Genomic DNA, 22,556 nt, shown 5'->3' with positions numbered 1-22,556 from the left:
TTGTAAACTTTCATATGAAGGCACTGGCACTCTTCCAGTACTATTTGGAGATCCAGAACCATTGGCCATTGGCTAGAATTAGTTAGGGAACAAAACACTGTGTGCCTCTAACACATTTTTTAAAGATTCTGCCATTTTGCTTAAAGAAATATTTAGGTGGGGTAATGAAAGCATGCAATACTTTAGGATGCCTTTGACCTTCATAAATCTGATTATGTAAACTTTTAATTGGATGGCTGTATTCTTTTGAATTTGTAAGTGTCACAGAGCAATAACATTTTATTCTAAAATGCACTTTCAGAACATTCTTTGGCTTCCATTCTGCAAATGGATTTTCAATACGCTCCTGAGTGATATTAATTGGAAGGTTTCCAACATTTCCCCTCCCCCCAACACAGACTCACTTCTTTTTTTTTTTTTTTTTTTTGGAAGAGTCAATACTTGTTAGCATCTCAATTGGTCTCCTCCTTCAATTTTGACAAATTCATCTAATATTCCCTCTGGATTAGTGATTACCTGATACATTCACTGACCTAGACTCAATATTGCCCATCTGTTTCTCTCCACAGAACTGATGAGAAGATATAGCTCAATATCCATAAGCCATATTTGTACACAAGTTTTCCATCTTTTAGTTTGTAACTTTTCCTGAGTAATAGTTTTTTTAGGAAGTCCATATGGTTTTTCACATGCTTCTGACCTTTTAGAGTCATTTTCGTTTCATAAAAGTGTTTTAACCATTAATGTTTCATGTAATAGTGACTATGCTTTGTCTACTTCTGCTTCTATTTTAGGTGATTTGTTGTTCTCTCTACTGTTTTCATTTTTATACCTCCTTTACTATATGGACTATTTTCTTTGACTTTGTTTTGTCTCATGACTTGAAAGTTGCGCATTCTGTTGTTATTTTCCTGGTAGTTTACATTAAAAATAACTTACTTGAAACTATTCTTTTCTTCCTATCAATGCCAAAAATAAAACTGTATTGATTGTACCTCTGTGAAAGATTAACATTTTAGTATGTATTTCTAATTCCCTTTTCTTTTCTCTCACTGTCCCAGTTTTTTATGGAATGTTAACTCATATTCTTACTATTAAATATTATGCTGTATATTTTCTCTTTAAAGAGCTATTTTTGACATTTGTAATAAGCCTCATAATGATATTATAACTATTATTAAGCTTTAATTTTCAATTTAAATGTTTGCAAGATTTGCCATAATTCTTTTAGTAAACAGCTTTCCTTTTTTAATATTCTTCTCAACCGTTTATCCCTAATGTCTTTGAGTAGTGTGGTTTTTGTTTGTTTTGGGGGGTTTGGTTTTTGTTTATTTTTCCAGGAATGGTATTGTGAATATACTTCCTGATCTCTTATATTCATGAGAAGTTCTTTCTGTTACCTTAGCACAACTTAGGTAGACAATTATCACTCTATAAGATTTCTCATGTCATAATTTTGTAAATGTGGCTCTGTTATTTTCTGGCATTATAATAGAAGATTAGAGCCCAGCCTGATATTTTTCCTTTATAGGCAAAATGTTTACCTTCTTGGATGGCTGGTAGAATTCTTTCCTTACCATTGAAATAAGAAAATATATCAGAATATCTCTGGATATGTATCCCCTCTCTCACGTATATTGATTTTGCTTAGTGTAAGCAGATCCCAACTTTTATTCATTAAGGAACTTTTTTTTCGGTTATGTCTTAAATCATTACTTCTGTTCAAATTGGTTAGTTCTCCTGTCCAGGAATCCCTATTTCCCCATTATTTTTTATCTTATTGTTCTTTTCCTTTTCATTGTGGAGCAACTTCTAAAGCTGGTTCTTTCATTTCTAATTTGCTTTTTTGCAATTTACCTGTTCTGATGCTGAATCCGATTTTGTAACTGCATTTTTAACTCTTTCAGAATTGTTTCTCATCTCAATCATTCTTTATTCCTGCCTTTTTGTCCCCAGCAAGTTCCTTTTTATTTCAGCTTCTATTCCTTTGATTTCCAGTCAGAACTGTTCCACAGTGTCCATGTTATGAATAGCTTTTAAAGTCCAAAACTACCATATTTTCTAATTTATTTTGGATTTATTTGCATAACAAATAAATCAAACAAAGATTTATTTGTTATAAATCTTCTTTCAAAACTGTTTTTTTCTGCCTTTTGAGCATTATGTTCCCCTCCTTTTATAATACGTACTCATAATTCATTGTCATCAATTTCATTTTTTTTTCTATTTACTCATTCTTTAATGTGCAAAGGTCTGCTCAGGAGAGATTTTCCTGTAAACTCCCAAAACTCCCAATGTATGTTTTTAATTTTGTTCCCCTGGCTATCCACATAACTGCTGGTACAATTCTTTTCTCTTTTCTCTGCTGGTTCACTTCTCTTATGAACAAGTGTTGTTTGATATTCTTACTTTCCAGCCCATCTTTTGCTGTCTTAAAGTCTTGTATGTAGTGTGAATATATTGCCATGGGGAGATATCCAGTCCCACTGCCTATCTTTTCATGAGTGGTATTGATTCCTGTAGAGTCAGACCTTCTTCCCAATTCTTTATGTGCCTGATCCAGCGAATGGTACCTCTATTGACATGTAGTAAATGCTCGGTAAATAGTTTCTCCAGGATTCAATATAACTCCCAGAATGCACTACGACTCTGTCAGACTCAGCTCTTTTTAACTGCCACCCAGACCCTCTAGGTATAAGCACTCCTAGTCACACAACATTTTATGGGTAATTGTAGCCTCAAGCCAGTGCAAGAAAACAGTAACTAATATTAGGGAAAGTGTGGTCAAAATGGCTCTATTATTCTAGAAGTCAAATTGGGGCTAGCTTTCCTTTCTCTGCTGGGAAGACTCCATGTTTCTAAGGAAAGTACCTAGAGTGGGCATAGCTTTATTGACTAAAAAAAGATGGTAACCCTTATCTTTTTTCCTGCCTGTAACTTCCTCAGAACTTTGGCTAGTGGAAATTCTTCCTGTTTCCTGGCATATCACTGAGGAATTCTCGGAGTTTCCAGTTTTACAGAAACTAGTTTCTCTTTGTTTTTTCTTAGTTATATCACAGGAAGTTGGGGAGAGAAAAATCAGAATTTATTAGATTTTTAAATAAAAAGATAATACAATTAATTCATAATTATTTACATTTAACTGAGTTCTGTACTTACCAGTAGCCTCCTTTTCACATGTCTTTCTTATCTAAATTCTTTACTTTGGTTTGTGTTTCGGTTGGCTTGAGTATTTAACACTTTAAATAACGTAACTGAGGAGGGCTTGTGTTCAGGATATACTTTCTGAACCTTTACAGACCTAAAATTAGTTGCCAGCCAAGCTGGACTAAAAATCAGGTCCCCTACAAAATTAGCTACTTTGGCCTTTCCTACAAAATTAGCTACATTGTTTATCTCTCTAAAACATTAAAAAAAAAAGGTACCAATAAAAAATTATTTTACCAGGTAGTGGTTGTAGTAAGAATTAAATGAGATAATACTTCTAAAGCACTTAACACAACAGTCTTCCAAAGTTGGTACAATTACTAGCTCCATTTACAGATGAAGAAGCAGATGCTCGAGGTTGAGATAACTTGCTGGAAGCTGCACAGCTGGTTGGTGGCAGAGCCAGGCCTGGGACATGGGACCGTTTGAGTTCGGAACAGAGGCCCAACTCCAGCTAAATCACCACATTGCAAGCATCTCACCCAACCACCCATTCCTCTCTTTTCAGTTCTGCTTCCTTTGCGATGCTGGGCATATTGATTTGAGGAATACTCAGCTTTCAGGTCCCAGCTGCCAAATTAGATTATGTTGCAAACATTCAGCTGTCTCCCTATGCAACATCACATATTCAGCAGGCATTTCAACAAAAATTAATTGATGAAAATATATGGCAATCACCCAGAGCTGATAAAAACAACTTTTAACCCTGCTGCTAACTACTAACAGATTCTAAGGTTAGAACTTTGCCTGAGGCCTGCGATAGAGCACTCTTCCCCCAGGACCATTTTAATTTTTGCTGTTTATCAAAATAAATACATATTTTTTGATATTTTAGAAAATAGATGTCCTATTGCTGCCTTTTATAATAATCCCTCTTATTAAGCCAGACACTGGGAATACATAATATGCATTTTCTGCCTGGGAAAAAGGCAGAGAGCAAGGGAAAGTTAATAAGCTGTGGAAATCTCTCCATGTCCACTTGGTCAAATTAAAATTCTACTGATTACATAGTTGCCTAGAGTAATGCTTTTCCGATAAATGCTCGATCTTCGTCCATAGGAAGATCTCAGGAGACATTTACCCGAAGTGAATCAGATCCAAAGATAGTAAAAAGTGTTGGAGGACCCAGTTGGGTCATAGTTGGAGTCTTGTATTCTCTTTGCCCTTAACCATCTCTATGATCTTTGATGCATTCTTCACACAGCTAGGTTTCCATTTCTCAGTCTTAAAATAAGGTTTAGACCTAACCTATGAGGTAATAATGAGAATTTCCCAAACTCATGTGTGCATATGCAAGTTTCTTGAGAAACAGGCTCTAAACTAAAGCTCTTTTTGGTGGGGACTTGGACTCAGATTCTCTTACTTCCCTGTCTCTAGGTAGAAACACTGCAAATTGTTTTGCTGCTGTAAATTCTCTTTCAATAATCAGAAGATTTTCTTTCAGTCTATTTCCCACATCTTCCTGATAATGGCCAGTAGGCAGAACTGAAAGAACAGAATGAAATATTTGAATTGCTTAAAACCCACATCTCCCTGAATAAGATTAATACATGTATCAGGTTTTATTTCTTCTTCTTTTTTATAGAGGAACAGTTCCATCTAGTGTAAGGACAGGGCACTCCTCTTCCTGACTTCAACCCTTAGGTGGGGGATGTTCCCAGTGAGTATTTGTCACAGTCCTGGCCCCAGGCTATTTCAGGGCTGCCTGGCCACTTACCTGCCCCTTCTTTGACACATTGTTTGTGAACAGGTGGAGGAACAAGGTGGGTACAATCCCCCTTCTTAACTCTTAACAATGCAAGCTCTGATTTTCCTATGTCAAATCCTGTCTTCGTAGGTCGTTATGATGCTTGTTTGTCAGGACCTGAGTCCTCTCTTTTGGGAGAGTAGGAAAGAGAAGCTTGAGTACCTACCCAAAGTCACTGGGTAAGCCTTGCTTCCATAGGTGGGTGAGGAGGACTACAGTGGGCAGATGGTAGTAAGGAAAATGAAAGGAAAGGGAATTTGTTTAGACTTGGAGGAGAAGGGTCTAGCTTTCCTCCAAGTCTCAGTTACCAGTTTGCTCCACGGTGGTGCCTTTCCTTCTTCATCCTCCTCCTTATCAATCCCCCAACCCCTGCCCTGCCACTACCACAGACCTGAATACAAGCTGATGAGATAATCCCTTCTAGCCTCTGTTTCTGAAAACCATTGATCCAGGTCAGCAGCTGGAATGCATGGGAGACATGAGTCCTTTGGAGAAATGGATGGAGCACCCAGCCCCGACTCCCATCTCCATCATGGGAGGAGAAGAGCTGTCAGCTTCATAGTGCTGAGCATTCTTTCTCATTCTCTTAGTCATTTTAATGGAAATGCAGTGTATCCCTACATTTCACTATCTCTTTACTTCATTTAGAAGAAAACTAGACACTAATGAGCATACCCAAATCCAATGTAGAAAGACAGATTGAAACAGGGGTTGGTAAACTTTGTATGAAAGACCAGTATATTCATTTCCTAGGGCTGCTATAACAAATTACCACAAACTGGGTGGCTTGAAACAAAAGAAAATTATTTTCTCACTGTTATGTAGACCAGAAGTCCAAAATCGAGGTGTTGGAAGGGCTGTGCTGCCTCCAGACACTCTTGGGTAGAATTCTTTCTTTTTTTTTTTTTTTTTTTGAGACGGAGTCTCGCTCTGTTACCCAGGCTGGAGGGCAGTGGCATGATCTCCACTCACTGCAAGCTCTGCCTCCCAGGTTCACACCATTCTCCTGCCTCAGCCTCCTGAGTAGCTGGGACCACAGGGGCCTGCCACCATGCCCGGCTAATTTTTTTTTTTTTTTTTTTGTATTTTTGGTAAGGATGGTCTCGGTCTCCTGACCTTGTGATCCGCCCGCCCTGGCCTCCCAAAGTGCTGGGATTACAGGCATGAGCCACCGCGCCCGGCCTCTTGGGTAAATTCTTACCTGCCATTTCCAGCTTCTGGTGGTTCCAGAGGTTCCTTGGCTTGTGGCTGCATAATTCCAGTCTCCACTTGTTGTGACATGGCCTTGTCCTCTGTATGTCTCTTCTCCTCTTCTATCGCTTACAAGAATACTTGTTATCATATCGAGGACCCACCACAATAATTTGTATGCACAATATGATATTTGTCACACTATTCAACTCTGTGTTATAGCACAAAAGCAGCCATAGACAATATGTAAACAAATAGTGTGACTGTGTTCCAGGATATCTTAACTTATGGACACTGAAATTTGAATTTCATAGAATTTTTACTTGTGAAATAGTCTTCTTTTTATTTTTTTCAATCATTTAAAAATGTAAAAATTGTTCTTCACTCAGAAGCCATATAAAAAAATAGGCAGCAGGCCAGCTTTGGCCTATGGGCCATAATTTACCAATCCTGAGTTAGAATAATAGAATATATCCTAAACCATCTTGATTCCTTTTTGATGGTCTCCAATAACCTTCTAATAACTCCAGCTATCTGTTCTGTCTACATTATTCTAAGTGTTTCTATGTCTCTTGACATACATTTGACCACTCTCCTTTTTAAAACTCTCTCTCTTGTTATGTGGATATGATAAAATGTAAATGTAGCTTCACAAGAAATATAATAATGGAGGGTAATTGGTGATTTTCCAAGGCAGGAGGGTGGTTGTCCTGACCTTGTTTGTCTGTATCTGAGCTATGTGACCCTTAGAACAGGAGATGGTGGCCTCTCTGGATGGAATAGAGATTTTACAGGTGAGCTGGACCAGAAGAGCTGGTGATACTCAGGTGGGGGTTGAATGGGGCAGTTGTGAGGCACTTGTGGACATTAGAGAGGTAGAGATAGAGAGAGGAGAGAAAGGGGGAAGAAGGGCATGTAAGCAAAGGGAGGGGGAGACAGGAAAAAGAGGAGAGGAGAAGAGAGGCAGAAAGATGAGCCAAGGTTGCTCACGGCAAGAGAGGAAATTAAATCCAGATGATGCTAAGTGAGCTTGAGGCTCATTAAGCCATACCAGGCAAGAAGACAGTTAGAATTGTCCTTGAGCTGAAGAGGAGAACTACGTTAGGAGCTGCAATCCCAAGAATGGAGAGAGGGTCCTGGAAGGCTTGAGGATGGGGCAAAGATGCTGGGGCTTGGGAACAGTCCCTCAACGTTTTGGGGTTTTTAGATTTTTTTGTTTGTTTTTTAAATGGAGGTCAAAGTGTAACAGCCTTCCAAAATAAACTAAGTTGTCCTTATGCAGCCCTTTCATTTGGTTTGAAAAGGTGAGGTCAGAGATGTTCATGCTCAGTGTGAATTTGGAGACGCAAAGGAGAGAGGCAGAGCACAGACTCATCTGGAGGAGAAAGGCAGCTTCCTGCCTCACTGCCCAGGACTGAGGTAGGGAGCAGGCCAAATGCGAACTTGGAAGCCAGTGGCAGAGGATGGGCCGAAAGGAGGGATAAGGGAGTACCAGGAGCTAAGCAGTGCTGTGGAGAAGGTCTTTTAGGGGACTCTTCCAACAGCAGCAGGGATGCAGGGTAGATAGACAGGGAGAGACCTGGGGCCAGAAAACCCAGAGAAGACAAGACAGTTAGGAGACTCCAGCCACAGTCCAGGCAACATGCACGAGGGCCTAACTTACAGTGGGGATGAAAGGGAATGATAGCTGGGAAACCCTCTTCAGAGGGAATCACCATGGCTCATTGGCTGACAGGTTGTAATTTCTCACTCACCTGTGCTGGGTTAGTGCTGAATCTCCACTGGGTTTCTTCAGAGAGTGTGTGTGTGTGTGTGTGTGTGTGTGTGTGTGTGTGTGGTGGGTTAGTGCTGAATCTCCACTGGGTTTCTTCAGAGTGTGTGTGTGTGTGTGTGTGTGTGTGTGTGTGTGTGTGTGCGTGCGCGCTCTTGGCTGATTATCTCCCTGGGCCAAACTTCCAATTATAAATCTCCCGGAGTGAGTGGCTTCAGCAAAGCAGTCCTTCCTTGTGACATGCTCAGTCTGGAGGTTCTGACTACTCCCCCATGAGCTCTGTAGGGGAGCTGTTTGTTGTTTGGGATTTTCAGAAACAGGATTTTCCTGCTTGGGCAGCAACAGCATGACCCTGAGTGTTCAGATCCCGAGGGAGCCAGGAGCCGGGAGGAAGGCAGCAGCAGGCTCAGCTTCCTGTAGGCCAAGCATTGCTTTGGGCAGTGAGGGGGGCATCCAAGTGAACTTTAGTTGTGCACAGCAAGCCCCACACCCCCGCCCTTCAATTAATCAGTGAGCCAGCAAGCTGGGCCTTTACTGAACTCCTATAGTGAGGCCAGTTTCCTTATCAAAAGTGAATGGCCTCATGGAGAGACCTCAGTCCCACACCCTGAATAAAGCTCAATAGTGCTGCCCACCATCAGTGATTCCAGGAAAAAAAATTTAATGAATCTGATTAGAATACTTAGAGTACACTGATGACCTGGAATTAGCTTGAATAGGAAGAGAGGATACGTGAGGAATTAAATCCTTGCACACAGGAGTTAAAACCACCTCCTCCCTTTTGCATCCCTGGTTGGTCCACCTGGATCCTCTGTCTTCACAACTTAAAAGGGTTAGCAGCCACATGGAAGGAAACAGGGAATGTGCCAGGTGAATTTCAGAAGTTTTGCCATTGCTTCTCTCCAAGTTGTACACAATTTCAATAATACTCTAAGAATTAAGAGATGTATTTTAATGGGTTTTTTTCCTGATCCTATAAACAAATCTTAGGTCATCAGATCTGGAAGAGACATCAGACCTTATGCTCTGCTTCCCTTGTAAAACTGAACGCCTTTAACAGCACAGCTCAGAGTGCAGTCAGTCAATATTGACATTTCACAAGAGAGGTCAATAATTCTCAGCAAGTGAGTAGCTGGTTCTAGCTCAGTCACCCACTTAGGTGTCAGGACTATCTTCTGAGAAGCAGTCTTTCATAACATCCCACTGAGGCTTGGATGCCTTCAGAAAAGATTTCTGACAATTCCTGTGCTTTCTTGCCATAGCATCTTGTTAGACTCAGTCAAGGTGATTGTGTATTGTTCCTACCCTGCCCTCTGCTGAGCTTTTGCCTAAAAGAACTCTTATAAGAAGTCTTAGGCTGGTGCAGTGGCTCACGCCTGTAATCCCAGCAATTTGGGAGGCCAAGGTGGGCAGATCACAAAGTCAGGAGTTCAAGACTAGCCTGGCCAATATAGTGAAACCCCATCTCTACTAAAAAATACAAAAATTAGCCAGGCGTGGTGGTGCACGCCTGTAGTCCCACTACTCGGGAAACTGAAACAGGAGAATCACTGGAACCCAGGAGGCAGAGGTTGCAGTGAGCCGAGATTGCGCTACTGCACTCCAGCCTGGTGACAGAATGAGACTCCGTCTCACAAAATACCAAACAAACAAACAAAAAAGAAGTCTTGGCCCCATCTTTCTTTGGAATTAATAGCCTTTGATCCACCCACTAGAAATGGTAGAGTGAGGTGTACAGTCTATTCTCCTAAGGAACAACCCCTTAGCAGTGAATTTCTCTAATGGGAATGCATTGGGGTGACTAAGAGAGCTGTGATCTATACACCTGTTTAGTGATATTTATCAATCATTTATTAAGCATTAATTGAGCATCTACTATGTACCAACTGTTAAGCTTCCTGTTTTCAGATTTAGAAGGAATCAGACATCTGACACTTTAACTCTCAGCCTCGGAGCATGTATTAGTCCATTTTCACACTTCTGATAAAGACATAACTGAGACTGGGAAGAAAAAGAAGTTTAATTGGACTTACAGCTCCACATGGCTAGGAGACCTCAGGATCATGGGGGGAGGTGAAAGACACTTCTTACTTGGCAGCGGCAAAAGAAAATGAGGAAGAAGCAAAAGCAGAAACCCCTGATAAAACCATCAGATCTCATGAGACTTATTCACTATCATGAGAACAGCATGGGAAACACTGGCCCCCATGATTCAATTACCTCCCCCTGGGTTCCTCCCACAACACGTGGGAATTATGGGAGATACAAATCAAATTGAGGTTTGGGTAGGGAAACAGCCAAACCATATCATTCAGCCCCTGGGCCCTACAGATCTCATGTTCTCACATTTCAAAACCAATCATGCATTTCCAACAGTCCCCCAAAGTCTTAACTCATTTCATCATTAACCCATTAACCCACAGTCCGAAGTCTCATCTGAGGCAAGACAAGTCCCTTCCACCTATGATCCTGTAAAATCAAAAGCAAGCTAGTTACTGCCTAGACACAATGGGGGTACAGATATTGGGTAAATACAGCCATTCCAAACGGGAGAAATTGGCCAAAACAATACAGGGCTCATGCAAGTCTGAAATCCAATGGGCAGTCAAATTTTAAAGTTCCAGAATGATCTCCTTTGACTCCAGGTCTCACATCGAGGTCACAGTGATGCAAGAGGTAGGTTCCCATGGTCTTGGGCAGCTCCATGCCTGTGGCTTTGCAGGGTACAGCCTCCCTCCCAGCTACTTTCACAGGCTGGTGTTGAGTGTCTACAGCCTTTTCCAGGTACATGGTGCAAGCTGTTGGTGCATCTGCTATTCTGGGGTCTGGAGGATGGTGGCCCTCTTCTCACAGCTCCACTAGGCAGTGTCCCAGTAGGAACTCTGTGTGGGGGCTCCAACCCCACATTTCCCTTCCACACTGCCCTAGCAGAGTTTCTCCATGAGGGCCCCACCCCTGCAGCAAACTTTTGACTGGGCATCCAGGTACTTCCATACGTCTTCCTAAATCTAGGCAAAGGTTCCCAAATCTCAATTCTTGACTTCTGTGCACCTGCAGGCTCAACACCATGTGGAAGCTGCCAAGGCTTGGGGCTTGCATCCTCTGAAGTCACAGCCCAAGCTGTACATTGGCCCCTTTCAGCCACAGCTGGAGTGGCTGGGACACAGGGCACCAAGTCCCTAGGCTACACACAGCACAGGGACCCTGGGCCAGATCCACAAAAACACTTTTTCCTTCTGGGCCTCTGGGCCTGTGATCGGAGGGGCTGCCATGAAGGTCTCTGACATGACCTGGAGACATTTTCCCCATGGTCTTGGGGATTAACATTAGGCTCCCTGCTACTTATGCAAACTTCTGCAGCCAGCTTGAATTTCTCCCCAGAAAATGAGTTTTTCTTTTCTATCGCATAGTCAGACTACAAATTTTCCAAACTTTTATGCTCTGCTTCCCTTATAAAACTGAATGCCTTTAACAGCATCCAAGTCACCTCTTGATTACTTTGCTGCTTAGAAATTTCTTCTGCCAGATACCCTAAATCAGCTCTTTCAAGTTCAAAGTTCCACAAATCTCTAGGGCAGGGGCAAAATGCCACCAATCTCTTTGCTAAAACATAACAAGAGTCACCTTTGCTCCAGTTCCCAACAAGTTCCTCATCTCCATCTGAGACCACCTTAGCCTGGATTTTATTGTCCATATTGCTATCAACATTTTGGGCAAAACCATTCAACAAGTCTCTAGGAAGTTCCAAACTTTCCCACATTTTTCTGTCTTCTTCTGAGCCCTCCCAAACTATTCCAATCTCTACCTGTTACCCAGTTCCAAAGTCGCTTCCACATTTTCAGGTATCTTTTCAGCAATGCCCCACTCTACTGGTACCAGTTTATTGTATTTGTTTGTTTTCACACTGCTTATAAAAAACATACCCAAGACTGGGAAGAAAAAGAAGTTTAATTGGACTTACAGTTCTACATGGCTGGGGAGGCCTCACAATCATGGCAGGAGATTCACTGGTACCACTTCATATATGGTGGCAGCAAAAGAAAATGAGGAAGAAGCAAAAGCAGAAACCCCTGATAAACTCATCAGATCTCATGAGACTCATTCACTATCACAAGAAAAGCATGGGAAAGACAGGCCCCTATGATTCAATTACCTCCCCCTGGGTCCCTCCCAACATATGGAAATTATGGGAGATACAATTCAAGTTGAGATTTGCGTGGGGACACAGCCAAACCGTATTAGAGCATATGCTTATTAAAGTTCCTACCTCACCAAATTGTAATTAAATTATAGCATGTTTCTCTTTTTCACTAAATTCTGAGCTTTTCAAGGGCAATTCAATGTCATTCACCTTTTTAAGCCTTATTCCTGGCAAAGTGTCTGGTGTTTCATAATGCTTAACAAATAGAGTTTGTAGTGAATTCACCAGCACATCAAAAAGCTTATCCATCATTATCAAGTCAGCTTCATCTCTGGGATGCAAGGCTGGTTCAACATATGCAAATCAATAAAAGCATAATCCATCACATAAACGGAACCAGTGACAAAAACTCATGATTATCTCAATAGATGCAGAAAAGGCCTTTGATAAAATTCAACACCGCTTCATGCTTAAAAACTCTCAATAAACTAGGTATTGACGGAACATATCTCAAAATAATAAGAGCTATTTATGACACACCCACAGCTAATATCATACTGAATGGGCAAAAACTGGAAACATTCCCTTTGAAAACCGGCACAAGACAAGGATGCCCTCTCTCACCACTCCTATTCAACATAGTATTGAAAGTTCTGGCCAGGGCAATCAGGCAAGAGAAAGAAATAAAGGGTATTCAAGCAGGAAAAGAGGAAGTCAAATTGTCTCTGTTCGCAGATGACATGATTGTATATTTAGAAAACCCCAACATCTCAGCCCAAAAACTGCTTAAGCTGACAAGCAACTTCAGCAAAGTCCCAGGATACAAAATCAATGTGCAAAAATCACAAATGTTCCTATACACCAACAACAGACAAGCAGAGAGCCAAATCATGAGTGAACTCCCATTCACAATTGCTACAAAGAGAATCAAATACCCAGGAATAGAGTTAACAAGGGACATAAAAGATCTCTTCAAGGAGAACTACAAACCACTGCTCAAGGAAATGAGAGGACACAAACAAATGGAAAAACATCCCATCCTCATGGGTAGGAAGAATCAATATTGTGAAAATGGTCATACTGCCCAAAGTAATTTATAGATTCGTTTCTATTCCCATCAAACTACCATTGACATTCTTCACAGAATTAGAAAAAAATACTTTAAATTTCATATGGAACCAAAAAAGAGCCCGTATAGCTAAGGGCTGGAGGCATCATGCTACCTGACTTCAAACTATACTACAAGGCTGGAGGCATCATGCTACCTGACTTCATACTATACTACAAGGCTACGGTAACCAAAACAGCATGGTACTGGTAGCAAAACAAACACATAGACCAATGGAACAGAACAGGGACCTCAGAAATAACACTACACATCTAAAACTATCTGATCTTTGACAAACTTGACAAAAACAAGCAATGGAGAAAGGATTCCCTATCTAATAAATGGTGCTGGGAAAACTGGCTAGCCATATGCAGAGAATTGAAACTGGACCCCTTCCTTACACCTTATACAAAAAATAACTCAAGATGGATTAAAGACTTAAATGTAAAACCCAAAACCATAAAAACCCTAGAAGAAAACCTAGGCAGTATCATTCAGGACATAGGCATGGGCAAAGATTTCATGATGAAAACACCAAAAGCAATTGCAACCAAAGCTGCAATTGACAAATGGGATCTAATTAAAATAAAGAGCTTCTGCACAGCAAAAGAAACTATCATCAGAATGAACAGGCAACCTACAGAATGGGAGAAAATTTTTGCAATCTACCCATCTGACAAAGGTCTAATATCCAGAATTTACAAGGAACTTAAACAGATTTACAAGAAAAAAACAAGCAACTCCATCAAAAAGTGGGCAAAGGATATAAACAAACACTTCTCAAAAGAGGACATTTATGCAGTCAACAAACATATGAAAAACAGCTTAACATCATTGATCATTAGAGAAATGCAAATCAAAAACCACAATGAGATACCATCTCAGGTCAGTCAGGATGGTGATTATTAAAAAATCAAGAAACAACAGATGCTGGAGAGGCTGTGGAGAAATAGGAATGCTTTTACATTGTTGGTGGGAATGTAAATTGATTCAACCGTTGTGGAAGACAGTGTGGTGATTCCTCAAGGATCTAGAACTAGAAAAACCATTTGACCCAGCAATCTCATTACTGGGTATATACCCAAAGGAATATAAATCATTCTACTATAAAGATACATGCATACGTATGTTTATTGCAGCACTATTTACAGTAGCAAAGACATGGAACCAACCCAAATGCCCATCAATGATAACTGGATTAAAAAACGGTGGTACATATACACCATGGAATACTATGCAGCCATTAAAAGGAATGAGATCGGCCAGGTGTGGTGGCTCACAACTGTAATCGCAGCACTTTGGGAGGCCGAGATGGGTGGATCATGAGGTCAGGAGATCAAGACCATCCTGGCTAACACGTTGAAACCCCATCTCTACTAAAAAAATACAAAAAATTAGCCAGGTGTGGTGGCACATGCCTGTACTCCCAGCTACTCCTGAGGCTGAGGCAGGAGAATCGCTTGAACCTGGGGAGGCAGAGGTTGCAGTGAGCCAAGATTGCACCACTGCACTCCAGCCTGGCCTACAGAGGGAGACTCTGTATCAGAAAAAAAAAAAAAGGAATGAGATCATGTCCTTTGCAGGGACTTGGATGAAGCTGAAAGCCATCATCCTCAACAAACTAACACAGGAACAGAAAACCAAACACCGCATTTTCTCACTCATAAGTTGGAGTTGAACAATGAAAACACATGGACACAGGGAGGGGAACAACACATGCTGGGGCCTGTGGAGCAGGAGGGGAGCAAGAGCATTAAAACGAATAGCTGATACATGCGGGTCTTAAAACCTAGATGGCAGGTTGATAGGTGCAGCAAACCACCATGGCACGCATATATGAACCTGCACATTCTGCACGTGTATCCCAGAACTTAAAGTAAAATAAAAATTTTTAAAAATACACTTTATAGGGATGGATAAAGGATGAAAGGAATGTGGGGATAAACCCATTATGTTATGACCACTTGGTAGTTGTCACTGGAATGTTCCCACTGAGGTTCTGGGGAAATATCAGCCCTATGGCCACACAATAGGAGTAAAGGAAAATTGAAATGTTAGCTGGTTTTGGCCATGTGCCAAGCATCTCAGGGTTCTCTTTGGTGGGGGCATTTTCCAGCTAAATTCTGGGAAGGAACATGGTGTTTATTTAAGTGCTGGCATCTGCTTAGACAAACAGGAAAATATTCTGCCACCTAACTTGACTGGAACAGGAATCCTACTCACCGTCTGATGGCTGAAACAATGCACAGTATTGCAAAACATTTCAGATCAGTTGACTTCCCCCAGCAGCTTAGTTTGCATCAGTGTAAATGCACACAGCAGATTGTGTTTCTGTGTTAAAAGGGTTACAGAACCCATCCTGGAATGAAACACTGGGACCACAGAAGAAGTGATGGGGAAATTGTTCAAGGCCATTATTTCAGTGCCATCATCATTAGCACATTTCATGTTAAAATATTGCCTGGAAGATCACCAGAACCAAAAATAATGCCATCTGTTTGTATAGTGGTTTATAGTTTAAAAAGCATTTTACAGTCATTATCACACTTTTTTACTGCAACTGCAACTCTATTTTATAGATGAGGAAATTGAGACTCATTAGGGTTTGGTGACTTCACTCAGTAACTAGTAGATTCCACATGTGCTGGCTCCTCTATGGTTATTAGCATCACAAGTAACGCAATAATCCTCATCTCCACTTTGGTACCCCCACAGCTGCAATGAATTAAAGCTATTCTTGCCATTGTGACCAGTAATCTCCTAGAAGCCAAATACAGCGGACTCTTCTTCATCCTTATCTTGCCTGATTCCTCTGTAACAAATGACCACATGGGCTACTCCCTACCTTTTGAGGCTGTCTTCTTTGGTTTCTAAGATGCTGCTGGCCGGGCATGGTGACTCATTCCTGTAATTCCAGCACTTTGGGGGGCCAAGGCTGGCAGATCGCCTGAGGTCAGGAGTTCGAGACCAGCCTGGTCAACATGGTGAAACACTGTGTATACTAAAAATACAAAAATTAGCCAGGCATAGTGGCACATGCCTGTAATCCCAGCTACTCAAGAGGCTGAGATGGGAGAATTGCTTGAACCTGGGACGTGGAGGTTGCAGTGAGCCAAGATTTCGCCACTGCACTCCAGACTGGGCGACAGAGAGAGACACCATCTGAAAAAATAGAAAAAAAATTTTAAAAAGGTTCTTCTCTCTCCTGGTTTTATGCCTTCCTCCTATGTCTTATACCACCCCTCCTTTACTGCCCGCTCTGTCCTGGCATTCCTTGTGAATGTTAATATTCTCTAGGATTTGATCTTTGGCCACTTTCTCTTTGCATTCCCCACAGTGTTCTGGGAGATCTTATGGCTCCAACCACTCTACAATAGTAACTCCCACATCTCTGTCGCTGGATCTGTAATTCAAATCTCCCTACGGAATTCAAAATATATATCCCATCTACTTTCTGCACCTCTCCACCTGGATCTGCAATAAGAACCTCAAGTTCCACACACCTAAAAGTGACTGTACTAGAGTATTCCAACAGTGCAGTATTAGGTCTGCCCATTCAGCAGCATGTAATGCTTCTTTGCTTACTCAAATTTCTATTTCTTTTAGTAAAGGAATATTTGACAGTTTCATTCATATAAGTCCCACATATTTCAGTACGTGTTTATGTCTAGATATTATATACTCTCATGACCATTGTGAACTTATTTCCATTATATTATGTAAATGGCTATGCTGTTATATAGAAAAGTTATTGATCTTTAACACATTTGTTTTGAAACCAGCAGCATTCTGAAATTGAATTTGTCTTGTTTTTCAGTTGATTTTCTTTGGTTTTTTAGATAAGCTATCATCTACAATAATTATAGTTATCTCCTACTTTACACTATTTATATCTTATTCCTTTTTCTTGTCTTAGTTGCATTGACTCGCATTCCTAGAACAATGTTACTACTAATAATAATGGTCATTACCATAGTTTCTGACTCACAGACAGACCACTTCTATTTTTCATCATTGCATTTAAGATATTTTCACCATTAAATAAAATATATACACTTTATTTAATTAAAGACATATTATTCTATTTCTATCTTATATTAGAAGTGATGATACATTTTTATTAAATGTCTTTTAGTCATCCAAAGAAATGATTATAAATTTTTTCTCTTTTGATCTAATCATACAATAAATGATATTAACAGTGAATCATCTTTATGGTAATGCTTTTTCTAGAAAGGATCCATTTAACTTAAAATCTTATTCCGCTCAGGCTGTGTTAATACATTCCAAATGTATTGATTATTGTATTTCTTTCTAAAATTCCTACTATACTCTATTTTATCTCCTAAACCTACCCCTCATATCTCTTATATTTTACATATTATATTCATCTCTATCTTTTGCTTCTTGGTTTTTGGGGAACTCCTCAAAGTGGACTTTCAAATCATCAGTGTCATTTTCTGTGCTATCCAATCTGTTATTCATTGCTACCACTTCCAGTTAAAAATTTGAAATTTAAAATTTGAATTCACAAATTTATAAGATAAATTCACATTTAATTTTTTAAATGTTTAACAGTAATATTTCTGATATCAGTTTGTTAGTTGTGGATAGAATGAGTGCTTGAATCTCAAGTCTCATTGATAATATGAATCAGTTTTCTTTTTGGTTATGTCTCACTTTTTGGAATAAGCTTCTTTTAGTGGAAAATATTTGCTTTGATTCTTCGGATGAGTTTCTTCAAACTGCTAAATCATTTCATAGACCCAGTGATTTTTCTGTTTATCCATCTTTCCTGAGAAAGCACTGTATGTCCATGGTTCCAAGTTAGGATCATTTCTCTATGAGGCTGTGGGGATGCTTATTCAAATCTTATATCCAAGAAAAAGAAAAAGATAAATTTGCAGCTTCAGTTTGTGGCAACATAGTTGGCTGTGAGGAGCAGGAAGAGGCCACAGTGAAAGGCATCTGCACCAAAGAGAACTCATGTTGTGCTGAAGGATTCCTTCCAGTCTATCGTGAAGTCCACTTTATCTCAGAAGCCCACAGGCTGTGCCCACGCTTTAATTATCACACCTCTCCAGTCCAGGGAGCTCCATCGATCAGCTCCCACTGAACTTCTGTATACTTATGTAAGACCACACTTATTGTCCCAGTAGTGGCCCCATGGAGTCTGGACCCTACGGCTGAAAGTTAGGAACATTTGTGCCAAGTTAAAGTTCCCCATGATCGTGGAAACTAGGAAAATAATTACCAAGGAAAACAGTCCTGTGGCAGGGAGCTTCACTGCTAAGCAGGTGAGGAATTGATCCTCCTCCTTTGTTCTATGTACCAGCATTAGAATATTCCCTCTACACGCTTGGAAGTTAGGGAGGTTACACTATGTACCCCGTTCACCCACTGCCTGAATCAACTTTTCCTTCATATGCACAGAATTGGGGGCAGTGGGCTCATCAGTCAATCCAGGCCACTAGCACCACATTTCACAATATATCAGGCAATACAATGCTGTGAGTAAGCGTCCAGTCTCCAGAGCCAGTCTCCTTGGGTCCAAATACTATTAGGTTGGTGCAAAAGTAATTGCGGTTTTTGCCAATTTGCTTTTATTTTGCACCAACCTAATATCACTAGTCATGAGACCGTTGGAGTTAGTAATCTTCCCTGTGCCATAGTTTCTTCATCTGTAACAGGAGGACAATAATAGCTCATCAGTGCAGCTTAGTGACAGCACCTCCTTTATGGAATACCATGAAAACTCAATTAGCTAATAGATGCTGAACATTTCAGACAATGCCTACACACAGTAATGCTCGATCAGTGTTAACCAATGCAAAATAGTGCCAATACTTCTGGTTCGAAGAAGGCATCCTTCCCTGATGTTTTCTTTTTTTATAAATTTCTTTGGACATTTCAATGGAAGGAAGACAAGAGCTAAAGCTGGAAGAGTCATATTTCCATCTTGTTCCAGAAGTTCTAAAGTAATGTTTTTGAAAAGAAAACATGGTCAAAAATGTTTTGAAATGAAAATATGTCAAGAAAAAGTAAAATTCAAACTTGTTAGCAGTATCAGCAAGGCCAATCAGGATCCAGCCTGCTTTCTACCTTTTCTCTAACCCTGTCCTCGCTTGCACCTCAGACTATAGCCCAACCAAACCTCCTGGGTTCATTGTGGCAGCTCACACCACAGGGCCTCTGCTCAGGTGAGGCCTTCCTCCCTCCCTTGTTAGCACCCCATGCACCTAACTTGCTTGTCTGTAATTCTGAGGGCTCACTTCAGATATTACCCCCTCTACAAAGCCCAGAATCACATCAGCTGACCCCTCCTTGGCATCCACCCTGCACCCAGAGCAAAGTTCTCTATACTGTGTCTGTGAGACCTTACTCCACAACTATCATGATTGTTTCAATCAATGAGGGAGCTTATTAAAAGTATAGATAATGGCTCTGGAAGATTCCAATTCATTAGGCCATGGGTAGAGCCCAGGAATCCATATATTTATAAAACAACTGGGATGATTTTGAGAATCAGCCGAATTTGAGTTAATAACACACACCCTCTGATTTGATTGCCCTCTCCTCTGGTAACCTTCCCTCCCAGCTGGTTAACCTGACCTCTCCTCTGGTAACCTGCACTCCCCTCTGGTTAGCACATCCTACTCTCTAACAGCCTGTAAATTCCTTATTTGTCTTATCTGTCTTATGTCTCCAGCACCTTGCACAGTTCCTGGCACTCAAAAATGTGTTCATAAACGCATGAATAACTGAATGACCTCTTCCCTCCAGTGGATTAGGTATTTCTATCGTTATTATTCATTGCTTTTACCCACCACATTTGATTTTCAGAGACTTAACTGAAGAGCTTATAAGAGAGACAGGAATAATTGTTTCTGGTTTGGCAACATACACTAGACTTGTTTGCCAAACTTACTGCGAACCTTCTGCCTTCTTGAGAAAGGAGGCCCAGGGGATAAGAGAGGCTATTGTGAAACAACCTTCTCCTGAGACCTAAATATTTGGCAACTTTAATCCTGGCATGAGAATTGGCACAAGGAATGAGAAAATGGAACACTCAGAAAGTGTGAGCCGACACCTTAAATGGACTTAGTGGCGAGCTAGCCAGAAGGTGGAAGCAGAGGCTGGAGGCTCTAGGATTGAGCTTCATCTCCTCTCCACTCACTGCCTCCCCTCCAGTTGGTTTACTTTAGGCAAGGCATTAACTACCCTGAACTCTGTGTCCTCCTCCATAAAAGAGGGCTGAAAGCAGATTGTCACAGAATCATTTGAAATAGTATACATGAAAGATCAAGTAGAGTGCAATAAATGTTTCCTTTCTCCTTTCTGTCACATCTCAAGCTGTGGCCTAGAAAACTGTAGAACAGTTGAGAGAAGCCAGCTAGAGCCCTGGGGTTGGACTCTCACAGTAGGGCAGATGTGGGGTATGAAGCTTCAGGAAACCAGAGAGAGTCTACTAAAGCCCAGTCCCAGGTATGAAAAACAGAGCAATGAAATTTGACCCTCTTGGAATATCCAAGAATCCTCATGGGATTTCTGTAACACATTTTGAGCACATATAAGTCCTTTTTGGGGAAAGAGCCATGCCTCATTCATCTGCGTATTTATTCCTAGTACCCAATGGAGTGCCTGATATAGGACCAAGAAATATTTGTAAATTGAATAGTGGGTGGACAAAGGCATAGCTTGGTACCTTCTCTCACTAGTTTCCTAGTTCTTTCCTAGTACCATCCTCCAAACAAAGCTTTGAGTTTTTTTTTTTTTCCTTGCCTCCATGCCTGGATGTGGTTAAGCCAACCAGACAGAGCTGTAATTCCTATGCTCCTAAGCTTCAAGGCTTCCAGAGTCTACATAGCTTCCCTCTGCATGGCAGCTTTGAGCTTTCTGCTGTTAAATAAAGTTGTAAGTGTTGTAAAGCGGTTTCATTAGGGAGGGTTTTATCTTGGAGAGGCAACAAGTTCTGTTCAATGGAATAGGGAAAAGTTAACATTTAAAACTCCAGCTATTTTCTGAGGATGGTGGGTCCTGTTATGAGTTGGCTTTGTTCTGCTGAGACCATATAAATGTGGATTTGCAAACTGGAGGAGCTAGAAGATCCCAAATACTAAAGGAAGAATGGCTTCTAGCTTCTGAGGTAATACTAGAGGGAGATAAGAGAGGAAGAGAGAGAGCTGAAAAGATTATATGTGTTGCCCAATGAGACCTTCCTGAGGTCTCTAAATACCCAGTTCTTAAGAGACTCACCAGCTTTTATGGAAGTTTATAAAAGAGAGAGTTTTGTAACCATGTTAATGAGAAGGAAAAAAGACATAGTCTCCAGTATTTTGAACTAGTCACAATGGGACCCATCAAAAGAAAAACAATAAGAATTCTCACGTATCATGGATAGGGCTTTGGGCTTCATCAAGACTGTTAAACTGGGAGTTTGAGTCAGATTTATTCAGACCATTGGAGGGGCCAGAAAGAGACATCTCAAGTGATACCTGAGTCTTCTGAACTTGATATTATTCTAGACACCACAAGGAATGCATAATTCACACACAACCTGGTCCTTTTCCTCAAGGAGCTTACAATCTCATTGTGCAGACAAGATATAAAGCCACTGGGCAGCATGCCCTCAGGATGCATTTTAATTTCAACAGATAATGATGATGGAGAAGATTAGAGAAAGGCCTCAAGGAGGGCTTCTTAAGGGGCCACCCTGAGTTGAGTCTTCAGAGGGAGATGACAGTATTTGGTTTGGCAGAATCCCAGGAACAGCCTTTTCAAGAACTCCCTGACAGCACCTCTTGAAACAGACGAATCAGGAACTACCCAAGACAAAAGCAACTCCATCCACTGCTCATTTTAAGCACATGCCTCACATGATCTGCTTGTGTAAACTTTGCAGGCAAATTTGATTTCCTTAAAATCATTTTTCCAAATGTACATTTACCTGCCTTTGCTTTTTTTTCAAAAAGTAAAACAAAACTTTTCTGCCACTTCCAACATTCCACCCTCATTTTCATTAGCCCCTTGCCTTTCTGAATTAACTTGAGTGGGAAAAGGTGTGTACTTACATCCACCCAGCCTCCTACCCCTAAAAATACTGTCTACATTCAATGCTAAGGAAAGGAGGCTACTTTGAGAATTTCAGAGTAGTAACTTCCAAAGGCTAATGGATGAATGTGAGTATTTCCATTCTCATTGTGGCCAGGAAAGATAGAGATAATCATACAGTACCCAGAAAATGACTGCTTCATATGATGAGGCTTTAATTTCCATTTTAATGGAAACATGTTCATTTAAAAGAAAGAAAAGCAGATTTCTGAACTATGTCTCCTCTCTCCGTTAACAACCTGGATGTGCACCTAGAATTAATGAGCTACATTTTTATTTC

The 22,556-nt window shown here is 40.7% G+C and overlaps 1 protein-coding gene and 1 long non-coding RNA gene across 5 annotated transcripts in view; one reads left to right on the top strand and one right to left on the bottom strand.

Annotated features, from left to right (window-relative positions):
• The window catches only part of TACR1-AS1 (TACR1 antisense RNA 1), a 125,490-nt gene extending 117,337 nt beyond the window's left edge, over positions 1-8,153 (bottom strand). For 2 of the 3 annotated variants that reach the window (NR_168010.1, NR_168011.1), the window contains exons 1-2: positions 7,900-8,153; positions 6,156-6,267 (exon numbers count right to left, since the gene is read on the bottom strand). This is a non-coding gene — a long non-coding RNA (TACR1 antisense RNA 1). Of the gene's footprint in view, positions 1-6,155; positions 6,274-7,899 lie in introns of all 3 variants that reach the window. The other variant, NR_168009.1, reaches the window with a different exon arrangement.
• Positions 1-22,556, top strand: part of TACR1 (tachykinin receptor 1) — a 153,058-nt gene that overhangs the window by 37,050 nt on the left and 93,452 nt on the right. The window lies entirely within an intron of this gene.

Source organism: Homo sapiens, chromosome 2, assembly GCF_000001405.40.
Source record: "Homo sapiens chromosome 2, GRCh38.p14 Primary Assembly".
In the NCBI taxonomy this organism is placed as follows: domain Eukaryota; kingdom Metazoa; phylum Chordata; class Mammalia; order Primates; family Hominidae; genus Homo; species Homo sapiens.
The sequence above is the reverse complement of the archived record's forward strand: the minus strand, read 5'-3'. Positions and strand labels throughout refer to the sequence as shown.